Consider the following 26,183-nt stretch of genomic DNA (forward strand, 5'->3'; position numbering starts at 1 on the left):
CCTTGCTAGGACCCCCAGGTAGTACCAAGAGTAAACTATGGCCCCAGTAGCAGAGCCTGATCTAGCCAGATCTGCTCTATCCTGTTCTGACTTCCCTGAGCATGGGGCAGGAGAGACAGGGCTGGGGTGGGATAGTTGGATTTTTTAAGTTTCTAGTTGTAGCCAGAAGTCCAGAGCCTGGCTCTGGGCTGCAGGCTTAGTACTAATAGAAATAACAATCACTCCTGCTCACAGTTGACAAGGAGCCAGGACTTGACTGGCTTTTTTTTTTTTTTTTTTTTTTTTGAGATGGAGTCTTTCTCTGTCGCCCAGGCTGGCGTGCAGTGGCGCGATCTCGGCTCACTGCAAACTCCGCTTCCTGGGTTCACGCCATTCTCCTGCCTCAGTTTCCTGAGTAGTTGGGACTACAGGCCCCCGCCACCACGCCCAGCTTTTTGTATTTTTAGTAGAGACGGGGTTTCACCTCCGCCTCCCAGGTTCAAGGGATTCTCCTGCCTCAGCCTCCCAAGTAGCTGGGACTACATGCGCGTGCCACCACGGCCGGCTAATTTTTGTATTTTTAGTAGAGACGGTTTCACCACGTTGAACAGGATGATTTCGATCTCTTGACCTCAGGGGATCCGCCTGCCTCGGCCTCCCAAAGTGCTGGTGAGAGGTGACAGCGTGCTGGCAGTCCTCACAGCCCTCGCTCGCTCTCCCCGCCTCCTCTGCCTCGGCTCCCACTTTGGTGGCACTTGAGGAGCCCTTCAGCCCACCGCTGCACTGTAGGAACCCCTTTCTGGGCTGGCCAAGGCCAGAGCCGGCTCCCTCAGTTCGCAGGGAGGTGTGGAGGGAGAGGCGCGAGCGGGAACCGGGGCTGCCCGCCGCGCTTGCGGGCCAGCTGGAGTTCCGGGTGGGCGTGGGTTTGGCGGGCCCCGCACTCGCACTCGGAGCAGCCGGCCGGCCCTGCCGTCCCCGCCGTCCCCGGGCAATGAGGGGCTTAGCACCCGGGCCAGTGGCTGCGGAGGGTGTACTGGGTCCCCCAGCAGTGCCAGGCCACCGGCGCTGCTCTCGATTTCTCACCGGGTCTTAGCTGCCTTCCCGCGGGTCAGGGTTTGGGACCTGCAGCCCACCATGCCTGAGCCTCCCACCCCCTCCACTGGCTCCCGTGCGGCCCCAGCCTCCCCCATGAGCGCCGCCCCCCGCTCCACGGCACCCAGTCCCATCCACCACCCAAGGGCTGAGGAGTGCGGGCTCACGGAGCAGGACTGGCAGGCAGCTCCACCTGCAGCCCCGGTGCGGGATCCACTGGGTGAAGCCAGCTGGGCTCCTGAGTCTGGTGGGGACGTGGAGAACCTTTATGTCTAGCTCAGGGATTGTAAATACACCAATCGGCATTCTGTATCTAGCTCAAGGTTTGTAAACACACCAATCAGCACCCTGTGTCTAGCTCAGGGTTTGTGAATACACCAATGGACACTCTGTATCTAGCTACTCTGGTGGGGCCTTGGAGAACCTTTATGTCTAGCTCAGGGATTGTAAATGCACCAATCAACGCCCTGTCAAAACAGACCACTGGGCTCTACCAATCAGCAGGATGTGGGTGGGGCCAGATAAGAGAATAAAAGCAGGCTGCCGGAGCCAGCAGGAGCAACCCACTGGGGTCCCTTTCCCCACCGTGGAAGCTTTGTTCTTTTGCTCTTTGGGTCCACACTGCCTTTATGAGCTGTAACACTCACCACCAAGGTCTGCAGCTTCACTCCTGAAGCCAGCGAGATCACGAACCCACCAGAAGGAAAAAACTCTGAACATCAGAAGGAACAAACTCCAGACACGCCACCTTAAGAGCTGTAACACTCACCATGAGGGTCCGCAGCTTCATTATTGAAGTCGGTGAGACCAAGAACCCAATTCCGGACACACTGGGATTACAGGCGTGAGCCACCGCGCCCGGCCTAGACTGGCTTGCTTTTCATTGAACCCTTACAGCAGTCTTGTGATGGAAGCCGGGTCCCACTAGTGATGCAGGAACAGGCTCCATTGGCCGGGTGCGGTTGCTCATGCCTGTAATCCTAACACTGTGGGAGGCTGAGGCAGGCGGATTGCCTAAGCTCAGGAGTTCAAGACCAGCTTGGGCAACATGGCAAAACCCCCTCTCTACTGAAAATATAAAAAAAGTAGCCAGGCATGGTGCCATGTGCCTGTGGTCAAGAGGCTGATTCTGGAGAATTGCTTGAACCCAGGGGATGGAGGCTGCAGTGAACCGAGATCACGCCACTGCATACCAGCCTGGGCGACAGAGCGAGACTCTCTCAAAAAAAAAGGAAAAAGAAACAGGTTCCACTAATATAGTTTGCCCCAGACAACAGAGCTTGGAGGTGAAGGAGTTGAAACTCAAGAACTGGGAATTTGTGCTTCCTGAGCACAAGGCAGGTTCCATGTACAAGCTGGAGGCTGAGGGTAGCAGTTGGCTGTAACCTTAAGCCCAGCTGAAGCCCTGACCTGGCCTCCCCCCTCAGACCGGAACTTGGTAAAGGGATCACTCCTTTTTCATGGCAGGATGGCTGGGGAAAGGAGAACCTTCACACCCCATGTCCAGGACACCAGCACAGAGACCTCACTTTGGAAGTCATCAACCTGGTGGCCTGTCTGGGCCAAACCACCTTCAGAACACAGAACCTGCTCTTGCTCCCTTTCAAACCCACCTCCACCTGTCATGCCTTGGCAAGGGGCAGTTGGCCACCCAGAGACTTCCAGGATTACAGTCAAGAGCTAGCAGCCCCAGCTCTGGTTGGGCAATTGAAACCTCCTAGGGCCCCACATGGACTGCCTAGATCAAATGCTACCCCCACCCCTTCGTAGGTTCATTATCTTCAATATTTTCTCACCCGTGAAACAAAGATAATCATAATACCTACTTCAGAAGTAGGGGATCACATGCCATGGGCTGCACCTGCAGCTGTAGCATAACAGCACCCCTTTAGGAGTTTCTAAAGTGTCCGAGGTTGGACCAAGGCTGGTTTTGAGGATTAAGTGCGGCCAGGAAGTGCCCACGTGGTGCCTTCTATAGGCAGCCTCCACAAAGGCTTACTATTACTTCAGTACTTTCTTCACTGACTGCTGAGGATAAAGACCTCCATGTGAAGCAGCTGACCCAGGGGCACAGAAGGGTCAGAACCAGTCACGGGAGTAAGGCAGTGCCACTACCACCTGCCTTCCTGGGTCCCTAGCTGTTGGGGGACTAACATAGCCCAGAGCAGTGGATGCTGACCAGGTGCACCAAAAGAGCCCAAATCTGGGACACCTCAGGCCAGAGTGCAGAGCTGCTCAGCGGGGCCCCTTCCCCTCCCTTGCAGTAAGCTTTAAGACCTCATGAGGATGTTTAAGATTTCTCCCTTTGGGCCAGGAGCACTGGCTCACGCCTGTAATCCCAGCACTTTGGGAGGCCGAGGCAGGCAGATCACAAGGTCAGGAGATCAAGACCATCCTGGCTAACACAGTGAAACCCCATCTCTACTAAAAATACAAAAACAAAATTAGCCGGGTGTAGTGGCAGGCACCTGTAGTCCCAGCTACTTGGGAGGCTGAGGCAGGAGAATGGTGTGAACCTGGGAGGCGGAGCTTGCAGTGAGCCGAGATGGCACCACTGCACTCCAGCCTGGGTGACAGAGCACGATTCTGTCTCAAAAAAAAAAAAAAAAATTTCTCCCTTTGCTCGGCAGGTTACACAGTCCAGCAAGCTATGTGCCCGAGCTTCCCAAAAGCCCCCAATCATTTCTCATTCATTAGGTCCTCCTCTTGCACTTCAGGGCCCCATCTCCTGACTCCCACCCACACCCCACCATCCAGACCCATGTCTTCTCCCACACCAACAGATGGAGCAACCAAACCCATCCCCAGGATCATAGACAGAGGCTAACAAATCCTGCCTCAGGTTTATTTGTACAAATAGCACAGGAGGACCCCAGCCCCATGCAGATGGTAGCCCAGGGGCGGGGGTGGGGGGTCGCACCAGTCCTTCTGTCCTCATGTTGGCAGAGATATCTACTCTGAAGCCTTTGTAGGGGCCTGGGTACGTTTGGGAGCCTGAGCTGGAACTGAAGCTGGGGCTGCAGCCTGGGCCTTGGTTTGATCCTTGGCCTTGGCCTTGGCCTTGGCCTTTGGCCGGCACAGCCTGAGCCCCTTGGCAATACGGGCACGAGCACGCTTCCCAAGCTTGGGGTGGGCAATGTAGGCAAGTCGATCGAGCTTGCGGCTGACACCCTTTGGGATCTTGGGCTTAACCTCCTTGGGCTTTACGAGGGCCTTGATAGCCTCGGCACGTGCACTCATGGCCTTGGCATTGTTGGCCTGCATCTTCTTTAGGCCCTTTTTGTTGTGCTTCTTGGCAAAGCGCATGTTCCTCAGGAACTTGGGGTCCACCTGAAAAGCAGGAAAGGTACAGGTGGCAGCATGTGGGTCCCCAAGTCTCTCCCTGCTGCCCCTCTCCATAGGGGTACCCAGCATTCTAAAGACAGCATCAAGTCAACCTCAAATGTGGAAATACCCAACCTCTTGAAACTATTTCCAGAGAAAGTGTACCACCACCCCAGGGAGCCAATACGCCACCTGGGTAATGCTGTGCAGACCTCCTTCAAGAACAAAATTACAAGCTGCTTTGCTGCCCTGTCTGCCAAGGTTGTGGGGCTTCAACTTCCTACAGCAGGGGTTCGACCAAGTTTTTTCCTGACATCCCCTCAGGGACACCCCCTCCCCTCTTTAGAAGAAGGTGTCAATTAAATACCAAGTCTGGTCCAAAAGACTTATAGCCAAGGTGGGATATGGGGAAACTGAGGCTCAGAGTTTGTGATTCACTCCACGGAACAGAGAGCAAAAGTAAAGGGAAGGAACAGACTGGGGACATGCTCAGCTCTCCCCTAGACCCTCCAGCCTTCTCAGCTAATCCTTAGAACCCCCTGACACAGGAAGAGAAGCTGACCCCAACTCCAGCACTGGGTCAGATGGAGGTCATAAGGCTGGTCAGTGTGGGAATGTGCCCTGCACGCACTCAGACAAGGCCACTCCTTACCCTAAGTGCCACTGCCAAGCAAGGGAGATAGCCAAACTGCCCTCAGGAGGCAGGTTACACCCTGACCAGAGGGTTACACTTCAGGCTGTGGAGACCAAGGAAAGCTTTATTATGGGTCTGGTAGGGTAGAAAAAGGAATTGCAGGCTTTGGGTGGGCCAGTTAGGCTGTGCTCAGGCAGAAGCCAAAGCTAGAGAAAAACTACATGAGAGGCCTTGACTGTGCACCTGGAACCAAGAAAAGACACTTCCATGTGATTCAGTGCACTCACCCCCTTAAGAGATTCGTATCTTTGTGATCGGGGTTTCTTGATACCATTTCTGTGCCATTTTCGGGCTGTGGGAGAAAAAAAGGGAATTAAGCCAACAAAGAACTTTCCTCTAATAAGACCACCCAACATCACAGCTGGCAAGTCTGGGAGAACCAACACTTCCTACAGCAGCTACACTTGAGATATGGGAAACCCTTACTACTAAATGCAAAACACTCTGTATCTCAAGTAGATCTCTAAACCTATAAACCCTAAAGTTATTACTGGGTGAAATCAATCAGCCTCAGGCCCACAATGGAAACGTGCCCCTTCATCTCTGTCCCAGTTTGCCTGAACCAGTCCTTGCCAGGGTCTGGGATGTAGGCAGGGCCCAAAAAACTTACACTGGTTGTGTGTGGTGTGGTTCTTGGACTTGGCCATGTCTGCACCTGGAAGACAAAAGTGGAGATCAGGGTTAAGGGCTCGCCAGGCTGGGCCACCTCTGCCCCCCCCATTCTGGTCAGAATGAGCCTGCAGGCAGAGAATGTGCAGCCTCCACGAGTCTCGGCTTACTCTGCACGACCAAACGCCAGTCCTGGCCTCCCAAACCCAGGTAATGATGCCCTGAAATCAACTCCTTACCCCCGGAAAGCTGCATTCCCCAATAAAGTGGCTTTCCCTGCCATCCCCCTCCTAGGACCTAGAAGCACCATTCCCACCCCGCAGCTTTTGCTCCCGACAGACACACGGTCGGTCACCAGTCCTCTCCGCAGCCCGCGCCCCGCCGCCACCCGTAAGTCGCGGATGGCATCGGATGCCGCGCGGCCAACACTCACCATAAGCCGCGGCTCCCGAAGCGCCTAGAACCGGAAGAGAAAGGGGCTGCGGTGCAGCACGGGAAATAGGGTCAACAACGCCGGAAAGTACTACTGGAAAAGCTTCCCCAGGCTCCGCGAAGAAAAGTTCCGAAGCCCGGAAGAACGCAAGCCAGACGTGGAGGCGGTGCTACGAGCTTGCCTCCGCCCCCTTCAGGCTGCCTCCTCCCTTCTCTGTTTCTCCAGGACCTGTCTCTTAAGTCTTATTCAAGATACTGAAAAAGAAAGGAGTCCTTGAGGGATGTTGTTGGGCAAGAAGATCTGTGTTCTTTTTCTTTTTTTTTTTTTTTGAGACGGAGTTTCGCTCTTCCACCGAGGCTGGAGGGCAGTGGCACAATCTCGGCCCACTGCAACCTCCGCCTTCCGGTTTCAAGCGATTCTCTTGCCTCAGCCTCCCGAGTAGCTGGGATTACAGGCGCCCACCACCACGCCCGGCTAATTTTTACATTTTTAGTAGAGACGGGGTTTCACCATGTTGGCCAGGCTGGTCTCGAACTCCTGACCTCGCGATCCGCTCGCCTCTGTCCCCCAAAGTGCTGGGATTACAGGCGTGAGCCACCGCACCTGGCCGATCTGTGTTCTTAAAAGCACCCCTGTAATCCCAGCACTTTGGGAGGCTGAGGTGGGCGGATCACGAGGTCAGGAGTTCCAGACCAGCCTGGACAACATGGTGAAACCCCATCTCTACTAAAAATCCAAAAAAAAAAAAAAAAAAAAAAAAAAAATTCACGGGGCGTGGTGGCACGTGCCTGTAATCCCAGCTACTCTGGAGGCTGAGGCAGGAGAATTGCTTGAATCTGGGAGGTGGAGGTTGCAGTGAGCCAAGATCGCACCATTGCACTCCAGCCTGGGCTACAGGGCGAGACTCTGTCTCAAAAAAAAAAAAGAAAAGCACGCCTGACTCTTTCGTGGAGAAGGAGCAGAGGGGAGGAAGGAGAGAGGGCTGCCTGGACCTGAGGGAGGACAGTGGGAATGCAGAGGAGTGGACAAAGAAAGAGTACTGGACTTGGGACACAGAAGATGAGGGAGAAAAAGGAGGCAAGGATAGCCCCTATGTCTTTGGCTTGACAACTGGGTGAATGGTGGGCTGTTTACAGAGATGGAAGATTGAGTGGGGAGCAGGGGCTTTGTTTGTTTTGTTTTGAGGGGGAATGATGAGCCAGATATTTTTGTTGGATGCATTAAATGTGAGATGCCTGTTGGACATCAGAATTGAGAAATTGTTGCCTCTAACAACTCTGTTGCCTTCTCCACCTCTTCCCCCTATAGTTCATTTTCCACACGGCAGTGGGGCTTGGGGACTTGTTTTAAGATACAAATCAGATCCTGTCCCTTAAATCTGCAAGGACATCCCCTTGCATTGAAGATCAATTCTTTACCCACTTGACCCTGACAACCTCTGTCATTTACTTCTCTCCAAACGCATTGCCTTTCTTTCCTGCCAACCACAAATGTGTGTTCTGCCTCAGGACCTTTGCACTTGCTATCCCAGCCACCTGGACTGCCCTTCTCCCTGCTTTTTGGATGGTGTGCTCTTTCCTATAGAGGCCTCCCTGGACTCCATTATCTAAAATAGAGAACCACTGCCTCATCTCACCAGTGATTCTGTGTCCTCTCATGGTTTCCTTTCTTTTCTATTCTTTTTTTTTTTTTCTTTTTTTTAGACAGTCTCACTCTGTCTCCCAGGCTGGAGTGCAGTGGTGCGATCTCAGCTCACTGCAACCTCTGCCTCCCGGGTTCAAGCGATTCTCCTGCCTCAGCCTCCTGAGTAGCTGGGATTACGGGCGCACACCACCACTCCCAGCTAATTTTTAAAGAATTATTTTTAGTAGAGACGGGTTTTCACCATGTTGGCCAGGCTGGTGTTGAACTCCTGACCTCAGGTGGTCTGCCCGCCTCGGCCTCCCAAAGTGCTGGGATTACAGGCGTAAGCCACCGTGCCCGGCCATGGTTTGCTTTCTTTATAGAACTTTCCCAGACTCTAATTGCATTGTTTACTTAGTTGTGTATGTGTCCATTATCATAGGAGCCCAGAGTTTGGGACTGGTTTGATCACCTTCATTTTCCCACTGCCTAACTCAGCATAATGTAGATAGAGCAAGAGCTTAATAAACACATGCCCAGTGAACGTTCCTTGACAAGCCAGGTTCGTGGAGTGACAGACGCATACTGCAGAGGTTTAGGGAGTGAAGCGGAAAGGAGGTTGTGGAGGCAGGACATGTGGATGACTCATTACCAAAGCATTCCTGAGAAAGGGGAGAGAATTCTGACAGGTGTGAGTTGGGAGAATGAAAAGCAGGCTTATATACTGATGGATGATCTGGTGCCAAGAAAGAAACAGCTGAGCCCAGAGGAGAGTGTCTCTGCAGGAATAAAGTCCCTGTGGGGTGCTGAGCACAGGTAGAGAACCTGGTGGGCAAAGACAGGGGCTACAGGAGGTGGGGGTGGTGTGATGCCTGACAGCAAGTCAGGACTTCAGCTCAGGAAGTTGAAGAGGTGGCTGTGGAGACTGGGACAGGGAGGAGGAGGTCTGACTGCCACATCCTTGAGAAAGAGAAGCCAGCAGGGTAGAGGCTGACAGCGGGGGCAGTGATGACTTTATTTATTTACTTTTATTTATTTTATTTATTTATTTATTTATTTTGAGACAGAGTTTTGCTCTCATTGCCCAGGCTGGAGTGCAATGGCGCGATGTTGGCTCACTGCAACCTCCACCTCCTGGGTTCAAACGATTCTATTGCCTCAGCCTCCCGAGTAGCTGGGATTACAGGCACCTGCCACCATGCCCAGCTAATTTTTGTGTTTTTAGTAGAGACGGGGTTCTACCATGTTGGCAATGCTGGTCTCGAACTCCTGACCTCAGGTGATCCACACTCCTTGGCCTCCCAAAGTGCTGGGATTACAGGCGTGAGCCTGTAATCCATGTCCAGCCTGTGATGACTTTAAAAGAACCAGGCTGCCCTGCTATGTGGCCTTCCAGCTGGGTAGCGACTCCCGCAGCTCCTAAAAAGTGAGTAGTGACTTGGTTTAGCTAGACTGTTACGACAGAGGCAGAAAAAGCAGTGAGCAGAAAGCCACGGTCTGACGGGGGAGGCAGATTCAGAGATGGACGATGGTCATGCAGTACCACTGGGGCTGTGTTAGGGATTGGCCCAGAGTTAAATCCCAGCTGTTAGGCAAGGGGGAGTCAGTGACAAGAATGAGGAACTTTGGCTGTGACCTGAGGGGACCTGTCCAGGAGCCAAAGGGGACCATGACCTGGAGCCACTGACCTGTCATGCTTTTCTTTTCTTTTTCTTTTTTTTTGAGACAGAGTTTTGCTGTTGTTGCCCAGGCTGGAGTGCAATGACACGATCTCAGTTCACTGCAACCTCCGCCTCCCCAGTTCAAGCGATTCTCCTGGCTCAGCCTCCTGAGTAGCTGGGATTACAGGCGCCTGCCATCACACCCAGCTAATTTTTGTATTTTTAGTAGAGATGAGTTTTCACCATGTTGGTCAGGCTGGTCTTGAACTCCTAACCTCAAGTGATCCACCCACCTTGGCCTCCCAAAATGCTGGGATTACAGGCGTGACCAACCACGCCTAGTCCCTGTCATGCTTTTCAAAGTGGGATGGATGGTAGGGTCATCCATGTCTATAAAGATAGTATTCTTTCTAGGGATAGTTTTCTTTATTTCTCCCTTCCTTCCTTTCTTCCTCCCTCCCTCCCTCCCTCCTTTCTTTCTTTTCTTCCTCCCTCCCTTTTTCACTCCTCTCTTTCATAAATGGAAACTTACACTATATGAACTCTTCTGTAACCTGATTTTATGCATTTAGTCATAATTTGTGGACATCTTTCTCTGCTCATGAAAATCTTTTGTAATCTTAATCTATTTTACATATTTTGAAACATTATTTTGAGAAGAGGTCAATAAATATCACCATATGTCAATGGAGTCTCTGGCACACACATACAAAAAGGCAAAGAACTTAACCTTTCCTCTAGGGTTGACACACTCTCACCCTCCATGAGTGAGTGGTTCTTGCTCCATCTCAAATCTGCCTGGAGGCCGGGCTCCACTTGCCTCCTCCATGGAGTAGACTTGGGCAGAGCCACTATCTGGACTCAGCAGAGCATAAGCCAGGTCTCTCTCAAATGCCTTGGGCACAAGGCAGAGAAAGATGTGAGCCTGGGTGACAAGATAGGGCTGGATGGGGCTGGATGTGATCAGCCCAACCCATGTGGCCTGCAAGGGTGTTGTCTTGACCAGGCCTTGTCCAGACCCATTACCCAATTCAAAGCCCGAGTAGGATCCCATAGTGTCTCCTCAGCAAAGTGATGGGGTTGGAGACCCCTGGGGTTGTTTTTGCAGTTCCTGTCACAGTCCCAGGAGTATATGGGGACCTGATACATGTTTGAGGAGTTAAATGTGCACATTTCACAAATCCAGGAAGATGACAGAATCAGGGTGGAGAAGCCAGCTGGCCTGGAGGGATTTCTCAGAGATAAGAGTCAGCTCTTCTCCTGGACCCAGAGCCTTGCTTGCCAAGCCTCAGTTCCCAGCGTAACGTGGGGATAAAAATAGTAATAACCTCTTGGGGCTAAACTGGATAATTTGAGTAAAGCACAGAACACTATGTTAAGTACACAGTAGGTGCTCAATCATTGTTAGTCCCATCCATGCATCTTCCCCACAAGGCCTCAGGTGAGGGAGACGGGGCTTGGGGAAAGAAAATCAGTGGCAAGTGGATGCTAAAAATAAGGACAAGATCCAAGGAACAACAAGAGAAAGCCAAGGTGGAGGAAAGTGGCGGTGCTCGCGGGGGCTGGGTCCCTTCAGCCTCTGAGGTTCCTGAGATACAGGGACTACCAGTGTTTTCAGGTAAGAGGGACTGTGAAGGTTGTCAGAACCAGGGTGTTTTATCTGGTTGTTTTACCCCCACAAGACAGAAGTGTGGAGGTGGGGTGGGCTTTGGGACTTTGGATCTGCTTAGAACTTTCTGAGGGAGGGGCTACCTGATTCTGTGTGTCCCTAGAAGACAGAGCTGTGACTGAGGACAGCAAATGCCAGCTTCGTGGACAAGGGGCATTTTTGCAATCAGAATTCCCTCCAAAATATGGGCTGCTCCCAGCAGTAGTGAGCTTCCTGATACAAGGGTTTTGCCAGCAGCGATTGAATGCCCTGGGGTTGGGGGTTTAAAAATGGGATGGAGGGGGCCAGCCATGGTGGCTTACGCCCATAATCCCAGCACTTTGGGAGGCTGAGCTGTGTGGATCACTTGAGGTCAGGAGTTCAAGACCAGCCTGGCCAACATGATGAAACCCCATCTCCACTAAGAATACAAAAAATTAAGATGGGTGTGGGGGTGGGCACCTGTAATCCCTGCTACTTGGGAGGCTGAGGCAGGAGAATCGCTTGAACCCAGGAGGCGGAGGTTGCAGTGAGTTGAGATCGCGCCATTGTCCTCCAGCCTGGGAAACAAGAGTGAAACTCTGTCTCAAAAAAAAAAAAAAAAAGTGGAATGCAGGGTTGGAAAATAGAGTTAAGTTCACTCCCCACCAGGAGCCTGGGATTCAAAGCTCCTGGTAGAAGGAAAGGGCCATGGGCTGCATGCAACGCCAGGCTGGTGCTCAGTATCTGTCAAAAGAGAGTCATTTCCAGCAGAAACTGGAAGGTGCGGCCCATTCCTCAGGTCATCGCGCGCGCGCCCCTTTCAGCCCCAGGCCTGATCTCCCTCTGGGGGCGCACCTGGCCCACCTAGCCCAGGAGTGAGCCGGGATGTGAGCCTATCGTCCGCAAGGGGGCAGAGTGGGACCGCGGATGAAGTCTGGTGCTGCAGGTGGGCTGTAGACAGGCACCCGCTCCCCTCCGGCGGGACACTCTTGCAGCCTCCCAGGCCTTTCACAGCTGCGCTTCTCAGCACGCCCCACCACCCCCACCTCCAGATTCAGTGCCTGTCTATTTTGAACAGGTTCTCTAGGCTGGGTCAGGTCTCCCTCAGCTCCAAGTTCCTGGTGGTGGTGGTGAGTTGTCTTCCCCCAGAGAGGGTTCAAGGCAGAGGAAGTAGAGCCTGTGGGCATCCCTGGGCACAGCCCCTCCTGGCCCACTTTAGACTTACCCAAGGGCGATGCCTCTTGTGGGTTAAAGGAACAGGCTTTGGCATCAGACAGACTTGGTTTTCGATTCTGACTGCCACTCACCAGCAGAGCATCTTCACCTCTTGGAGCCTGCCTGCCACAGTGGAGGCGAGTAGCACCAGGGCTGAGGAGGCAGGAAGCCTCCCAGAGCCTCGCTGTGCATTTGGGAGGCCCGCGGGTTTGATTGTGAGACCGCACAGCAGCCTTTGGAGGGGGTATGGTTTTTATCACCCCACTTCACAGGTGGGGAGATGGAGTCCTTGGGCATGACTGGCTAGAGGTCCCACAGCCAAATGGAGAGCTACTGCAGTCCAGGCACCTACCAGAATCTGGGGGGGCACGGGGTGGTTTGTACCCAATGAGGCCATGGAGGGGGCCTTGTGACAGTGACTGCCATGTGACGAGAGAAGCCCGTGGCCTTTATGGCCAACGGATGCCCAGAGTGAGGGCATCCTCTGTGCCAGCCCCTGCTTCTGCCAGACACACCTGCCACATCCAGAGCAGGCCTACAAAGGAGGTGGTAGTGTCCTTGGGTGGAGGGCAGGCTGCTGCCTGAGCAGGCCTGGGCTGGGGTCAGTTGGCCTCAGGCAGCCAAGGACTGGCCAAGTATAAATGGAAGAAAAGTCCAGCAGCACAGAAAACCGACCTGCTAGGAAGGATGGGAGGGAAGGGATAGGGTAGGTGGGTGACATGAGGGTGTTGGACAGGGCTGGATGGAAGCCCGAAGTATCTCTCCCCACTCCTGTTCCCAGCCACAAAAGGAGGCTACGGAGATTCCCTTTTAACAAAGAGCATCTGAAAAGGAAGAATGAAGCTGAGGGTTGGGAGGGACACCCCTCTCCTTTCCCTCCCCAGCAGGCTCCAATGGCCCCAGCAATGTCGTTGCCTTGGCAACCACAGCCCCCTTCTAGCTCCCTTTCTCCTTTAACCCCATCCTGCCTGGATGCACCTCTCGCCTGTACCCTCCCTCCCTCTCTTCCCAGCTCAGACTAAAGAGAGACTTGGCGGGCTGGGGAGAAAGGACTTCTCTGCTCACCAAGCAGTCCTGGGGTTAATGCCCTGGCTGCATCCCAGGACCGCCCCTTCCTAGGGATCAGATGGACAACTCTTTAAGATGGAGACAGGACAGGACGAAATGACCTTTGAAAGAATTATTCTGAATGAACAAGGGAGCTGTCTTCTCCCAAAGATTTCAAGCCCCAAGTCTCCCAGTCCTCACTCCCTCCCAGGAGACAGAGGCTGTGACCCAGGAGCCCCTGGCGGAGTTTAGGAAACAAGCGCTGGAGCAGGGGGGTTTGAAGATCATCTAGTTCCCCTCTCTAAGCCAATGGGTGGGGAAACTGAGGTCTAAGAGGAGGAGGAATTTACTCAAGGGCACACAGTGAGTATTGGAGAGTCAGGGAGGGAACCAGAGAGGCCTGAGCCGGGATGAGGGTGGAGGCTGCATTTGCTACCGTTGGCCCGAGGAGTGGCTAGGTACAGAGGGCCACAGGAGACCTGCACCCCATGGGAAGGCAGTTGCTGATGTTTCTCTCCTGAGTCCAGAGAAAGCCCCTGGCTGCCCTCACCCACTTTTGTTCCCTGAGAGGTGCCTGCCTCCCTACCATTGGTGTTCCTGGGTTTCCTAAACTTAGTGCTTCAGTAACCCCCTCCCAGGCCCCAGCGCAACATAGGCTAAGGAAGGAGAATGAGTTCTGGCCCTGTTTAGGGCGGCACACGGGACTCTAGCAAGATCAGAGAGGAGCTAGAATTCTGAGAGGGCTGGGGATTCTAAAGGTCCCATTGAGAGTGTCCCCTGAGCACGAAGGGCTTGTGGCTGCAGGCAGCAGGTTCTGGCCCAAGGGCAGCCCTTTCTTGACTGTGTCCCTGGCAAGTCACTCAACTTCTCAGAGGCTGCTAAATGGCCCAATCCCACCTCCACGTAAACAAGGTCGGCCACACAGGCTACACAAGATTCCCATGAGGCGGCAGACACAGAGCTATGGACAGGTCCTGGGAGGGGGTCCCAGCCCCAAACCTCTTGTATCTGCTGTGCCAGGGCTACTGCCATGATCACTTGGAGCACCTACGGTATGCAGAGCCGGGGAGGCTGGGAGGGGAGGAAGCTGTGGGCACAGCACCCCTAGATGTAGACCAGAGAGGGCTCCATTCAAGCCAGGCCAGCAGGCTCCAGAAACCTTCTGGGGTTGGAGGAGCGCCCTGGGAGCCTCCCTGGAAGATGAGGCAGGCCCTGTGCGATCAGGTGGAGGTGGAGAGAACACAGTGGGCTGGAGAGGGTGAAGGTTGGCATTTGCTCTCATAGCTCTCCCAGCTGATCCGGACCTCCCTGAGCTGTCGCTGCGACCCTGAAGACCCCAAGGCCTGGCCGGAAGAGGGTGCTCTTGCCTTTCCCGCACACAGCCCAAGTCCTGGGCGCCAGCAGAGAAAGGGGCCTGCTGCTGGGGGCTGGAGTCAGGAGCTTTGCCTTTATTGTGGCTGGTTCTCACCACACCCTCAGAGTGTCCTCGCCTGTTAATCCCACGTTGCAGAGGAGGAAACAGGCTCAGAAAAGTAAAGCGACTTGCCCGTGATCACCCAGCTTTTTCTCCCCATCAAAGCCGCTCCTTGAAACTCTCCTGGGCGTGGACACTGCCTGAGACTCTTACACTCAGGTGGGAAGTGTGTCACCCAAGTGTAGGAAGTGTCATCCCAAGATGACAGCTTGAGAAAAGGAAGGGGACGCCTACCGGAAGGAGTGACCCTCTGGTGGACAGTGCTGAGGTGTCCATGGAAGGTGGGGACAGGTGCTAGGAGACTCGGGCCCACCTCATCCAGCAGGCGTCCCCCTGCAATATTGCATTTGTTAGTCCCTCTTTCTACATCGGCCCCATACCCACTCATTAGTTCTTCAAATTCTCAGGCACCCCCTCAGCAGGCAGCCACTGGCGAGGGCTGGGGAGCACGGTCCAGACCTGCCTGGATGCCAGGCAGCTGGGTGACCTTGAGCAGAGACTCAACCCCAAGGCTCAGCTTCCTCATCTGGGAGAGGGGGAGCAGGGCATCACTTACTTGGCAGGCTGTGGTGGGGATCCAGGGACCTGTTCATTCCGAGCACCTACCAGGGCCTGGCCTGTGGACATTGCTCAGTCACTGGCTCACCCAGGCACTCCTCAGCCCTGGTTAATCCCCCAGCCACCTGCCTACTCCTGTGCCCACCTGCGGCTTTGGTCCCCATTTCCCAGTAATCCTCAGGGCCAGGTGCTGGCAGTCAGGGGGTCAGGGTTGTCCCTGCCCACCCAGCAGGTCTCCTAGGACAAGGCTCAGATTGGACAGATGACCAGGCAGGCAAAATGGGGGTCCTTCTCTGCCCTCCCCAATCTCCCCTGGTGGGCAGAGGCTGGTGGGGACAGAGGCAAAGAATCCCGCCCAGAGTGGGGATAAGAGAAGGGGATGGCTCTGCGGTGGCCCTCCTCCCCGTGGGCAGGGCTGCTGGGGACAGGGTCAGATGAGGTTGGGCTGACAAGCAGCTGCTGAGCGGTGGCAGTGAGGGACATGTGGGGACCCCCACCACTCCTAACAACGCGGCACCAGTGCCTAGGAGCCAGCGGGTGAGAGGCCCACGGTCCTGGCTCTGCCTGTCTCAGCGCCTGCTGCCTGCCTGGCACAGGGCCCTTGCAGCACTGGTTTTAATCGATCACTCTTTCCGCAAGCAGCTCCTGGAGGTGCGGGGGTGGCTTCCCCTTGACTCCAATCTCCTGGAGGATGCAGCTTGGCTAAAAATAACTTGAATTACTGAGCTCCCACCCTGGCGCAGAGGAGGGGCCTGGGGGCTGCGGGGGCGGCGCCTGGAGGGAATGTTGCCGCAGCCAGGAGGGGGTTCCCTGACAGGAAGTGGAGAAGAGTGAGTGTCGGCAGGTGGGAAGGAGTGCAGCTTGTTGAAGGGAGGCTGGCCCTTTCTCGCCCATTCCTCCAGGCTCAGGCCTGCTCCCTGGGGACAGTGCTTCTTGAGAAAACCTGGGGAAGGGCTGGCCCTGACCCCTGCACTTGCATCACTGAGGGTAAGTGGCCTGGCTGCAGCGGGGGTGCTCCTCCCAGCACAGACACCGGATTTGGAGGAGACTCCCCCTGTAGATGCTCTGGGCAGGAGCCTCCTCCCTGCCCTCCCACAGGGCACCAGAATGCAAGCCGTGTTGGGCATCAGGCAAGAGGAGTCAGGTCTGGTCTCATGTCCTGTTCCTTCTGTGTGACACTGAACTCAACTTCCTTATCTGATAACTGGATGCAACTGCAAAATCAAGCATTTGCCTCCACCCCCATTCTGCAGGCAGCCTCTCATCTGTCTGGAGCAGCAGCATCAGGCTCCCTGTCACTCACTCCCAACCGCCTTGGTGCCTGCAGAGGGGGCAAGTCCCGTGACCACCCTTCAGAGCAGAGTGGGTGTTATGCCCAGGTTGGGCAGGCAGGACCTGGGTCTCTCGAGGTGCAGCAGGGCAGGTCAGGGAGAGTGGGGACTCCAGGGCCTCAGGGAGAGTGGAAGGTGACTTCAGGGCCCAGGCAGAAGCCTGGGGTCAGGTGGCATGGTAATAGTCCCAGCTACTTGGGAGGCTGAGGCACAAGAATCACTTGAACCTGGGAGGTGGAGGTCACTGCTGCCCCCCTGCCATCCCCATCTTCATACCCCAGGGCCAGGCCAGAGCAGGATGCTGTACAAGCAGTTCAAGGGCAGGTCCAGGGCTGCATGGCGGAAGGGGGACAGGATGGCAGTCCCTTGCATGTGCACGGAGGCAGTGGGGACATACTGGTGTTGGACCAATCTGTCCTGCAGCAGGGAACAGGCTGGGAGCTCCCAGCCCCCGCCATTGCCTCAGTTCCCTCATCTGTAAAAGAGGTCTGGATTAGATGCTCTCTGAAGTTCCTGACAGCATCTGGGGAAGATGGAGCATAGATAGCAGCTGCCCTTGGGAAAACAGCAACAGCTACGACTTCAGCTTCCCTGCCCTTCACTGAGCACCTCTGGCGCTGAGATGCTCTGTGAGGACAGCACTGAGGTTATCCCCCATCACACGTGAGGAGACCGAGGCTCAGAAAGGGGGACTTGTCTGAGGTCACATGGCTTGGACGTGATGGGCTGATTTTGAACCCGGCACTGTCCAACTGCAGTCTGTTTTCCCATTCCATCCTATTCTAAACATAGGGCCTGGGGGATGAGACGTGCTTTTGGGGGTGACTCAAGGTGGGGTGCAGGGGCATGGATCCAGATAGAAGTTCCCTACAGCTGTGCCCCCTCCCACACCCCCTCCCACCCCCACCCAGGTTTGGCTCAGGTCACAGGGAGCCTCATTCTGGGGCACCAATGGGACTGGGAAGTGGCTGTGCTTGCGGGAGGTTGGGAGGAGAGGAGGGAGTGTGAACCTGCTTGAATGGGAACAGGACCAGTGATAATAATAATGACAATAACTCCCTCCCCCGACCCCAGAGACATTTTTAGCAACACTGTTCCTAAGGAGAAACTCAAATATCCGGTGACAGGCAAATTGAGAAATCAGCTGCAGCTCCGACAGCAGCATGGGTGAATCCTGAACCATCATGTGGGTGAAAAAGCAAACTGCAGGAGACTACATTCAGTTCAAAGCCATTTTTATAAAGCCCCCCTGAAGTATAACTAAATGATATAGTTTTAGGAGTTCAGGTGTGTATGATGACAGAACTATCTGCAGGCTAGGAAGTGCTAAACCAAAATTTGCCATACTCGAGGAGAGGCAGGAGCTGGATAGGGAGACCCACACGGGGGACCCCACCCACGGACACCTGCCACAGGCCCACAGGGTGCCGGGCACTCTTCATGGTGTGGGGAGATACAGGCATGAGCAAGGCAGACATGAAGCCCGGGCCTTGTGGAGCTTATGGTCTAGCAAGGCAAGTTCCGTGCCCATTCTGTGTTGTATGGTAGATCGCAGGTGTCAATTATACTATTTTGCACTGTCTGCATTGTCCGTTACAGATATTCTTTTTTTTCTTTTTTCTTTTGAGATAGAGTCTTGAGACAGAGTCTCATTCTGCCACCCAGGCTGGAGTGCAGTGGTGCCATCTTGGCTCACTGCAACCTCCGCCTCCCAGGTTCAAGTGATTCTCCTGCTTCAGCCTCCCGCATAGCTGGGATTACAGGCATGCACCAGCATACCTGGCTAATTTTTGTATTTTTCTAGAGACAGGGTTTCACCATGTTGGCCAGGCTGGTCCTGAACTCCTGACCTCAGGTGATCCACCTGCCTCGGCCTCCCAAAGTGCTGGGATTACAGGTGTGAGCCACCACGTCCAGCCACAGATATTATTTTATTTTATTTTATTTTATTATTTATTTATTTATTTTTTGAGATGGAATCTCGCTCTGTCACCCAGGCTGGAGTGCAGTGGCGCGATCTCGGCTCACTGATAGCTCCGCCTCCCGGGTTCATGCCATTCTCCTGCCTCAGCCTCCCGAGTAGCTGGGACTACAGGCGCCCGCCACCACACCCTGCTAATTTTTTGTATTTTTAGTAGAGACAGGGTTTCACCATGTTAGCCAGGATGGTCTCGATCTCCTGACCTCGTGATCCACCCGCCTTGGCCTCCCAAAGTGCTGGGATTACACTCATGAGCCACCGTGCCTGGCCTGATATTCTTTTATATTAATCAAATACTGTATTTAGTCCAGGAGCAGTGGCTCACGCCTGTAATCTCAACACTTTGGGAGCCTGAGTTGGGTGGATTGTTTGAGCCTAGGAGTTCAAGACCAGCCTAGGCAACATGGCAAAACCCAATCTCTACTAAAAATACAAAAATTAGCCAGGTGTGGTGGTACTACATGTCTGTAGTCCCAGCTACTTGGGAGGCACAAGAATCACTTGAACCTGGGAGGTGGAAGTCACAGTGAGCCAAGATCGCAGCACTGCCCTCCAGCCTGGGCAACAGGTAAGACTCGGTCTCAAAAAAAAAAAAAAAAAAAAATATATATATATATATATATATATATATATATAAAAAATACTACTGTTTTATCTGTTTAAATACTATATATATAATCTGTTTAAATGCTATATATAGGCCGGGCGCTGTGGCTCACACCTGTAATCCCAGCACTTTGGGAGGCCTAGGAGGGCGGATCCCGAGGTCAGGAGATCAAGACCATCCTGGCTAACAGGGTGAAACCCCATGTCTACTAAAATAAAAAAAAAAATTAGCGGGGTGTGGTGGCGGGCACCTGTAGTCCCAGCTACTCAGGAGACTGAGGCAGGAGAATGGCGTGAACCCGGGAGGCAGAGCTTGCAGTGAGCCAAGATCGCGCCACTGCAATCCAGCCTGGGCGAAAGCGAGTCTCCGTCTCAAAAAAATAAATAAAATAAAAATAAATAAATAAATACAATATACATCTGCACACACATATATATACTATAGTGTGTATATGTGTATACACATATATACTATAATGTGTATATATACCATATATATAGTATATGTGTGTGTGTGTATATATAGTATTTGGTATTTAAATAGATTAAACAAGGAATAAACACAAACTTAATTGACCTTCTTCTCCCCAGTAAAACATCCCACCCAAGTGGGTGGGTTCTGGGGGCTGAGCTCCTCTCCCTGCTACCCCTCATGGATATCCCATCACACTCAGCTAGAGGGGGTGCGAATCCCAGATCCCTTCCCCCCTCTCAATCTCCCAGCCCGACTGAATGTCCCACAAAGTTATTCTCTCATTTACCAGCAGGTAAGAGTCAAATATCGTTTGGAGTGCTAGGCTGGAAAGTGGGACAGAGTTCCCTACCTCTGGGAGCGCCAAAGTCATTTGGAAAGATAAAATGCAAGAGAAAGACGTGCAGGGTGGCCAGGCACGGTAGCTCACGCCTGTAATCCCAGCACTTTGGGAGGCTTGGGTTGGCAGATCAGTTGAGGTCAGAAGTTCGAGCCTGGCCAACATGGTGAAACCCCGTCTCTACTAAAAATACAAAAAATTTAGCTGGGTGTGGTGATGCAAGCCTGTAATCCCAGCTACTCGGGAGGCCAAGGCAGGAGAATCGCTTGAACCCAGGAGGCAGAGGTTTCAGTGAGCCGAAATCCCGCCACTGCACTCCAGCCTGGGCGACTGGGCGACACTCCTGGCAAACATCCCTCTCCTGGTTCAGTGCTCTTGCACTATATTAATAGTGATAGAGAGTACAGGAGATGGGAGGTAACACGTATGACCTGTCTCAAGCTGTTCATTCCCATCAAAGGCAGGGGGGTCAGGAGGGCTTAGTCTGCCATCCATCCATCCAACCATCTCCCCATCCATCCAACCCTCTATCCATCCATCCATCCATCCATCCATCCATCCATACATACATACATACATCTATCCATACATCTCCCCATCCATCCAACCCTCTATCCATCTGTCCATCCATCCATCCATCCATCCATACATACATACATACATCTATCCATACATCTACCCATCCATCCAACCAACCATCTATCTATCTGTAATAGGCAGACTAATGTCCCCCAAAAGATGTCTCCATCCTAATCCTAGAGCCTGTGATTATGTTACTTAACATGGCAAAGGGGGATTAAGGTTGCAGATGGAATTAAGGTTGCTAATCATCTGGTGTTAAAATAGGGGGATTATCTTGGATTATCTGGGTGGGCCCAAGGTAATCATATGGGTTCTTAAGAGGAGAAGAGGAACCACAGAGATGGCAGCATGAGAAGGACTTGGTCTTACATTGCTGGCTTTGAAGATGGAGGAAGGGGCCACAAGACAAGAAAAAATGACAGCCCCCAGAAGCTGGAAAGGCAAGGAGGACATGGATGCTCCATTAGAGCCTCCAGAATGCAACCCTGCTGACACCTTGATTTTAGTCCAGTGAGACCCCTTTCAGGTTTCTGACCTCCAGAATTGTAAGATAATACATTTGTGTTGTTTTAAACCATGAAACTTGTGATAATCTGTTACAGCAGCAATAGGAAACTAACACAGCAACTAACGAGCCAGCCCTTCATGCAACCATCCACCCAACCACCTATCCAACCATCCATCCAACCATCCATCCAACTGTCCATCCAACCATCCATCTAACCATCCATCCAACAATCCATCTGTCCATTTAACTAACTAACCACCCATTTAAGAAATATTCATTGACCGTCCCCCTTGTGTCACCTGGCAAGCTGTGAAAAAAAAGTGGGCAAATTACTGAAGCTCCCCACCCATTGGGAGCAATAGATACAGGATTTCAATCCAGGATCCTCAATGCTATGATGGTAGAATATGAAGCACTTGGGAAGGATTATGGGAGGCTTGATGGCTTTTGGTGGCAGGAACAAGGCAGGGAACGCTGTAAAACAATTGTGAGTCCCATTGATTTTTTTTCCTTTTTCTTTTTCTTTTTTCTTTTCTTTTTTTTTTTTTTTTTTTTTTGAGACGGAGTTTTGCACTTGTCACCCAGGCGGGAGTACAATGGTGCGATCTCCAGTCACTGCAATCTCTGCCTCCTGGGTTCAAGGGATTCTCCTGCCTCAGCCTCCTGAGTAGGTGGGATTATAGGCACCTGCCACCATTCCCAGCTAATTTTTGTATTTTTAGTAGAGACAGGGTTTCACCATGTTGGCCAAGCTGCTCTCGAACTCCTGACCTCAGGTGATCCACCTACCTCGGCCTCCCAAAGTTCTGGGATTATAGGCGTGAGCCACCAAACCCATCCGATGTTTTTTTCTTTTAATTTTTTTTTTTTTTTTTTTTTTTGAGACGGAGTTTCGCTCTCGTCGCCCAGGCTGGAGTGCAATGGTGCGATCTTGGCTCACTGCAACCTCTGCCTCCCAGGTTCAAACAATTCTCCTGCCTCAGCCTCCTGAGTAGCTGGGATTATAGGTGCCCACCACCACGCCCAGCTAATTTTTGTATTTTTAATACAGACCGGGTTTCACCATTTTGGCCAGGCTGGTCTCGAACTCCTGACCTCAGGTGATCCACCCACGTCAGTCTCCCAAAGTGCTGGGATTACAGGTGTGAGCCACCATGCCCGGTGAATTTTTTAAAATTTTGAATAAAAAAAGCCAACAATTGTGAGTCTCTGCAGCCAGCTCCTCACCTGAAGGCTGCCCCTTGAGGCCACTGTCCCTTGCTACCTCTTTCCTCACCCCCGTGTACCTGGAACTCTTTGCCTTGTCCAAGGAGTAGGGCAAGAGGCCTGATCCAACCAGGATTTGTCCTCCTGTTGTGACTTCTGCCTCCTGCTCCTCAGCTTAGGCCTCATGCCTGCCATACTTTCTGCACAGCCCTGAGGCTCTGAGGTTCACTCTTGCTGCCACCTAAGCCACCAGCCCATCAGTTAGCAGTGAATGGCCATGACACCCACATTCTTGGTACCAGTGAGGAGCACCTGCTCAAGGGTTAGGCTGAGCCTAGTTCTTGGGCTGTGTGATCTCAGGACTGCCCCTGTCTGGGTCTTCACACCCTCATCTACAGAATGGGAATAATGATAGCTCCTCCTTTCAGGGCTGTAGTCAAGCTCAAGAGAACTCATGTTGAAGACCAGCCTGCACAGATCCTGGCATACAGGAACCCTGCCACCATCACCGCCTGGAAGGTGCTAGATTATTATATTGGGGGATGGAGTTGTTGGCACTTAGCTCCTCCCCACCGGAAAGGACCAGTTTCCTGTCCGTGAGTTGTTAGCTTTGACATGCTGAGCTATAGCCCCGTGGAGCCTGATCACAGGGGAGCCTGCGATCCACGGACAAGAGAGTTGCCCAGTATCTTGTAGGGCCATGGGCACAGTCCTCCCCAGCCCGGCTCATGTCACGATCTTCCAGGAACAGCCTGTACTTTGGCATGGCCCTGAGAAAGAGCAAAGACGGTGTTGCCCATCCTGTTCCAATCTTGTCACAGGAAGGATATGTGTCTGGCCATGTCCAGCAGATGTTTCAGGCCAAGTGTGTAGCCCAGGATAGCTTCCTGGGCAGCTGGCCCCAGGTTGGGTGTGGGGGAAGGGAGGGCAAAGGTCAACATTGAGAAGGGACAGCAAAAAGGGCTCAGGGTAGAATTTCAGACCCGATTGCCTAGGGCAGATTGGGGTAAGGTGTTCCCAAGCTTCTTACAGGGTCAGCCGCCATGAGGGTCACCCAGGTACCACGTTGGAGGCCTGCTTAGCCAACCTCGACTAGATGTGAGTGGCTCTTCTCTACACACCCAACTGAGACCACAAATCCCAGATGCATGAACCTGCTGGGTCTGGCCCACCCCAAGCCAGGAGGCAGTGTGGTCAGAATGCCACACCATATGCCAGGAGCTTGGTGTGCCACTCTTGGCTCTGCTATTGCATTCAGGATGTCACTTTATCTCTCCAGGACTCAGTTTCCCCTTCTGGAAAATGGAGCAATACACACTAGCCCACCATTTGTGGAATGCCTGGGTACTGTGCCCAGAGATCTTTTGATGTTTAATCTCATTGCTCACCTGATTCTGAATACAAAAGTTGAGGCTTCAGGAGGAAGCAGGCTGCCCAAGCCCATGATCCATGGAGGCAGCTTGTATGTGGGTCTGGCTGACTGGGTGCTGGTGCAGAGCTGAGCTGGGGCAGCTGCCTGTTGGCTCTGAGACCACTGTGCTTGCTGGGCTCGGTCTGCCCCACCCCATCCTCCCCTGGAACAGGTTTTCTACTCAGAAGTTGGCCTCTAAGGATCTCCCACCCAAAGGGCTGAAGCTCTGGATGCTCATTTTTCCCTGACTCGCTTGGGAGCCTGGTGAGATGTAAGGGACCCCCTGTTTTTCATCCCTCTCTTCACTCTCTCCTCCTAGCTGCATTCTCTGCCCAGCTCTGGATCCTGGAGGTGAGATCAAATGGGAGAATTCTGTTGGCCCAGGCAATGTCATCTTCCTTCAGATGTGTGACACCTTCCTAAGTCTGGCCAGGCAGCAGGGACAGAGACTCAGGCCCACCTGGGACCTGGTGACCCAGGCTGTTCAGTGGCAGCCAGAGGTGGGGGCACAGACTAGGGGTGTTCATTGTACAGACACCCTTATATCCTGAAGGGGATCCAGCTGGGATTAGGCTGGATGCCAAATAAGACAGGCAGCATGTGGAAGCCCAGGACCCGGGTTCAAGTCCTACATCCACTAGAGCAGGCTAGGAGAGCTTAGATAAGTCACTCATCTGTCCATCCATGCATCAACCACCCACAATCCATACAACACACATTTATAAGGCATCCTCTGTGTGTCAGGTGCCATGAGCAGGTGAAAACCTGCCCTCAGAGGTTGCAAAGGTGTAAGCATGGGAACAATCTCATAAGAACAGAGAGATGAGAGCAGGGTGTGTGCAAGCAGGATCCTGGTGTTGTGCAGGGTACAGCTTGCCCTAGTGGACAATGATGATGCAGCAGAGGTGGACCCAGAGACGACCAGGCAGTTGGGGCTCCAGGTTGGGTGCACACGTGTGCATGTGTCACAGGACTCTGACTCTGGGGGCTGTTGGTAGAAGCCTGGAGGCCCCATATCCCTGCGGTAGTCGCCACACTACAGCAAAGTAGTGTGTTTGACAGGAAATACCTCGGCAGCCATTGCAATTTAGGTTGCAGAGCACAGAGCAGTTGCCCCCGCGATGGTCAGGAAGCCCAGACCAGCAGAAAGGGGTGGAGAGAAGGGACTTCACCTGCTCTGCCCTCAGACTCTGCTCCCAGCTTCTGGCCTCAGGCTACACCAAGCCCCAGGATCCAGTGCGTGCATTAAAGGAAGTCCGCAAAGCCTTCCTGGCCTTCTTATCAGGGATGGCTTTGGGAAGGCGTGGGTTGGCAGCAAGGCCTCTAGGGGGCCACCCTGGAGTTAGGCTTAGGGACGAGGGGGTAGCGTGACTTTTTTGTGGCAGCTCTCAAATGCTGGTGTCCAGCCTCCCAGTGCAGTCCCATCTCCTTCCTGTCTCTAACCTACCTCGTTGTGGTGGCTTCATCTCTGGCTGGGCCAGAACCCCACTGGAAGACTACAGTGGACACCTCTCTGAGGCCCACTCCAGCCAACTGGGTGGGTGAACTCAGCTTAGTCTCTTGACCTCTTTGGGCTGGGAGTACCCTTCTGAGCAGGTACCTTTGGGCCTCCAAGTCCCCAAGGGAAACAAAGAAAGGGACTTTCAATCCTAGCACAGAACCAAGAAAGGAAACAGGTCAGGAAGGAGGTGGCCAAGGTACTTCTTGCATGCTGGACCTTGATGACGGGAGGCCCCACATCCCACATCAGCCTCCCTCTAGACTCCAGTGTGTCCACCCCACTCCCTCCTGGGGTAGGGCCCATCTAGCTGCTTCCAGCCAGTTGCCTGGTGCATGGTCGGTGCTTGCAGAGGGAGTGCCCTGCCTCTCTGTCTGTGCTTTCTGTAGGGGAGGATCCACTTTCAGACCCTCACACGCCCTGTTCCTTCTGCCTGGGACAGTGTACACCTCACCTGACGGAGCCTAAAGGTCACTGCCTCTGGGAAGCCTTCCAGGACCACTTTAGTCAGGCCAGGCCCTGCACGCTTGTCTTGCTTTGTCCAGCTCCATCTCCTCTTCTGAGTGAGGGGACTCCCCAAGGGCAGGCCTGGGCCCCCAGCATGCCCTGGGCTGTGCCGGGGCTCTCAGGAGAGCTTTTAACTTCCTCTTATCTGCCATTCCTACTCCTGAACACAGTCTGCTATCTTTCCCCTGGAAGAGCTGAGCAGGAGGGGAAGCAGCCACTTCACCTCAGCAAGACCTCTTGGATGCCGCTTTCTGGGTTTTTGCCACTCCCCTAGCAGCCATCTTCCCTGAGGGCTACCAGGGCTTCGGGCATCCATCTCTTCTCTTCCAGAGCTACCTTCTGCAGGAGAGATCGTGAGCAGGAAGGGAACAGGGCTAGGAAAGGGGGCTGGGGGCTCCAGGG

The 26,183-nt window shown here is 53.4% G+C and overlaps 1 protein-coding gene across 1 annotated transcript, besides 7 other annotated features; it reads right to left on the reverse strand.

Annotated features, from left to right (window-relative positions):
- Positions 935-1,607: an enhancer, noted in NCBI's record as "H3K27ac-H3K4me1 hESC enhancer chr3:52024676-52025348 (GRCh37/hg19 assembly coordinates)". NCBI's record gives its function as "activates a minimal SCP1, AML or CMV promoter by ChIP-STARR-seq in primed H9 embryonic stem cells {active_cell/tissue: H9 hESC(primed)}" and the evidence as "EXISTENCE:reporter gene assay evidence [ECO:0000049][PMID:30033119]".
- Positions 1,608-2,280: an enhancer, noted in NCBI's record as "H3K27ac-H3K4me1 hESC enhancer chr3:52025349-52026021 (GRCh37/hg19 assembly coordinates)". NCBI's record gives its function as "activates a minimal SCP1, AML or CMV promoter by ChIP-STARR-seq in primed H9 embryonic stem cells {active_cell/tissue: H9 hESC(primed)}" and the evidence as "EXISTENCE:reporter gene assay evidence [ECO:0000049][PMID:30033119]".
- Positions 3,629-4,361: an enhancer, noted in NCBI's record as "H3K4me1 hESC enhancer chr3:52027370-52028102 (GRCh37/hg19 assembly coordinates)". NCBI's record gives its function as "activates a minimal SCP1, AML or CMV promoter by ChIP-STARR-seq in naive H9 embryonic stem cells {active_cell/tissue: H9 hESC(naive)}" and the evidence as "EXISTENCE:reporter gene assay evidence [ECO:0000049][PMID:30033119]".
- RPL29 (ribosomal protein L29) lies at positions 3,797-6,170 on the reverse strand. The gene is made up of 4 exons (NM_000992.3): positions 6,132-6,170; positions 5,700-5,744; positions 5,317-5,381; positions 3,797-4,401 (listed from the first exon to the last, which is right to left on the reverse strand). The coding sequence occupies exons 2-4, from the start codon at positions 5,734-5,736 to the stop codon at positions 4,024-4,026; spliced, it is 480 nt and encodes a 159-aa protein (NP_000983.1). The 5' UTR covers positions 5,737-5,744; positions 6,132-6,170; the 3' UTR covers positions 3,797-4,023.
- Positions 6,115-6,274: an enhancer, noted in NCBI's record as "active region_19923". NCBI's record gives its function as "activates an Ori minimal core promoter by ATAC-STARR-seq in GM12878 lymphoblastoid cells {active_cell/tissue: GM12878}" and the evidence as "EXISTENCE:reporter gene assay evidence [ECO:0000049][PMID:35858748]".
- Positions 14,744-15,624: an enhancer, noted in NCBI's record as "H3K27ac-H3K4me1 hESC enhancer chr3:52038485-52039365 (GRCh37/hg19 assembly coordinates)". NCBI's record gives its function as "activates a minimal SCP1, AML or CMV promoter by ChIP-STARR-seq in primed H9 embryonic stem cells {active_cell/tissue: H9 hESC(primed)}" and the evidence as "EXISTENCE:reporter gene assay evidence [ECO:0000049][PMID:30033119]".
- Positions 25,304-26,183: an enhancer, noted in NCBI's record as "H3K4me1 hESC enhancer chr3:52049045-52049924 (GRCh37/hg19 assembly coordinates)". NCBI's record gives its function as "activates a minimal SCP1, AML or CMV promoter by ChIP-STARR-seq in naive H9 embryonic stem cells {active_cell/tissue: H9 hESC(naive)}" and the evidence as "EXISTENCE:reporter gene assay evidence [ECO:0000049][PMID:30033119]".
- Positions 25,859-25,928: an enhancer, noted in NCBI's record as "active region_19924". NCBI's record gives its function as "activates an Ori minimal core promoter by ATAC-STARR-seq in GM12878 lymphoblastoid cells {active_cell/tissue: GM12878}" and the evidence as "EXISTENCE:reporter gene assay evidence [ECO:0000049][PMID:35858748]".

Source organism: Homo sapiens, chromosome 3, assembly GCF_000001405.40.
Source record: "Homo sapiens chromosome 3, GRCh38.p14 Primary Assembly".
Taxonomy (NCBI): Eukaryota; Metazoa; Chordata; class Mammalia; order Primates; family Hominidae; genus Homo; species Homo sapiens.

What these genes read in the sequence shown, in the direction of transcription:
- RPL29 (NM_000992.3), bottom strand. Translation starts at nt 5,736, where the DNA reads ATGGCCAAGTCCAAGAACCACACCACACACAACCAGT. An exon ending in CCACACCACACACAACCAGT is followed by an intron (nt 5,382 to 5,699) that starts GTAAGTTTTTTG and finishes TTTCTCCCACAG; the next exon opens with CCCGAAAATGGCACAGAAAT. An exon ending in GATACGAATCTCTTAAGGGG is followed by an intron (nt 4,402 to 5,316) that starts GTGAGTGCACTG and finishes CCTGCTTTTCAG; the next exon opens with GTGGACCCCAAGTTCCTGAG.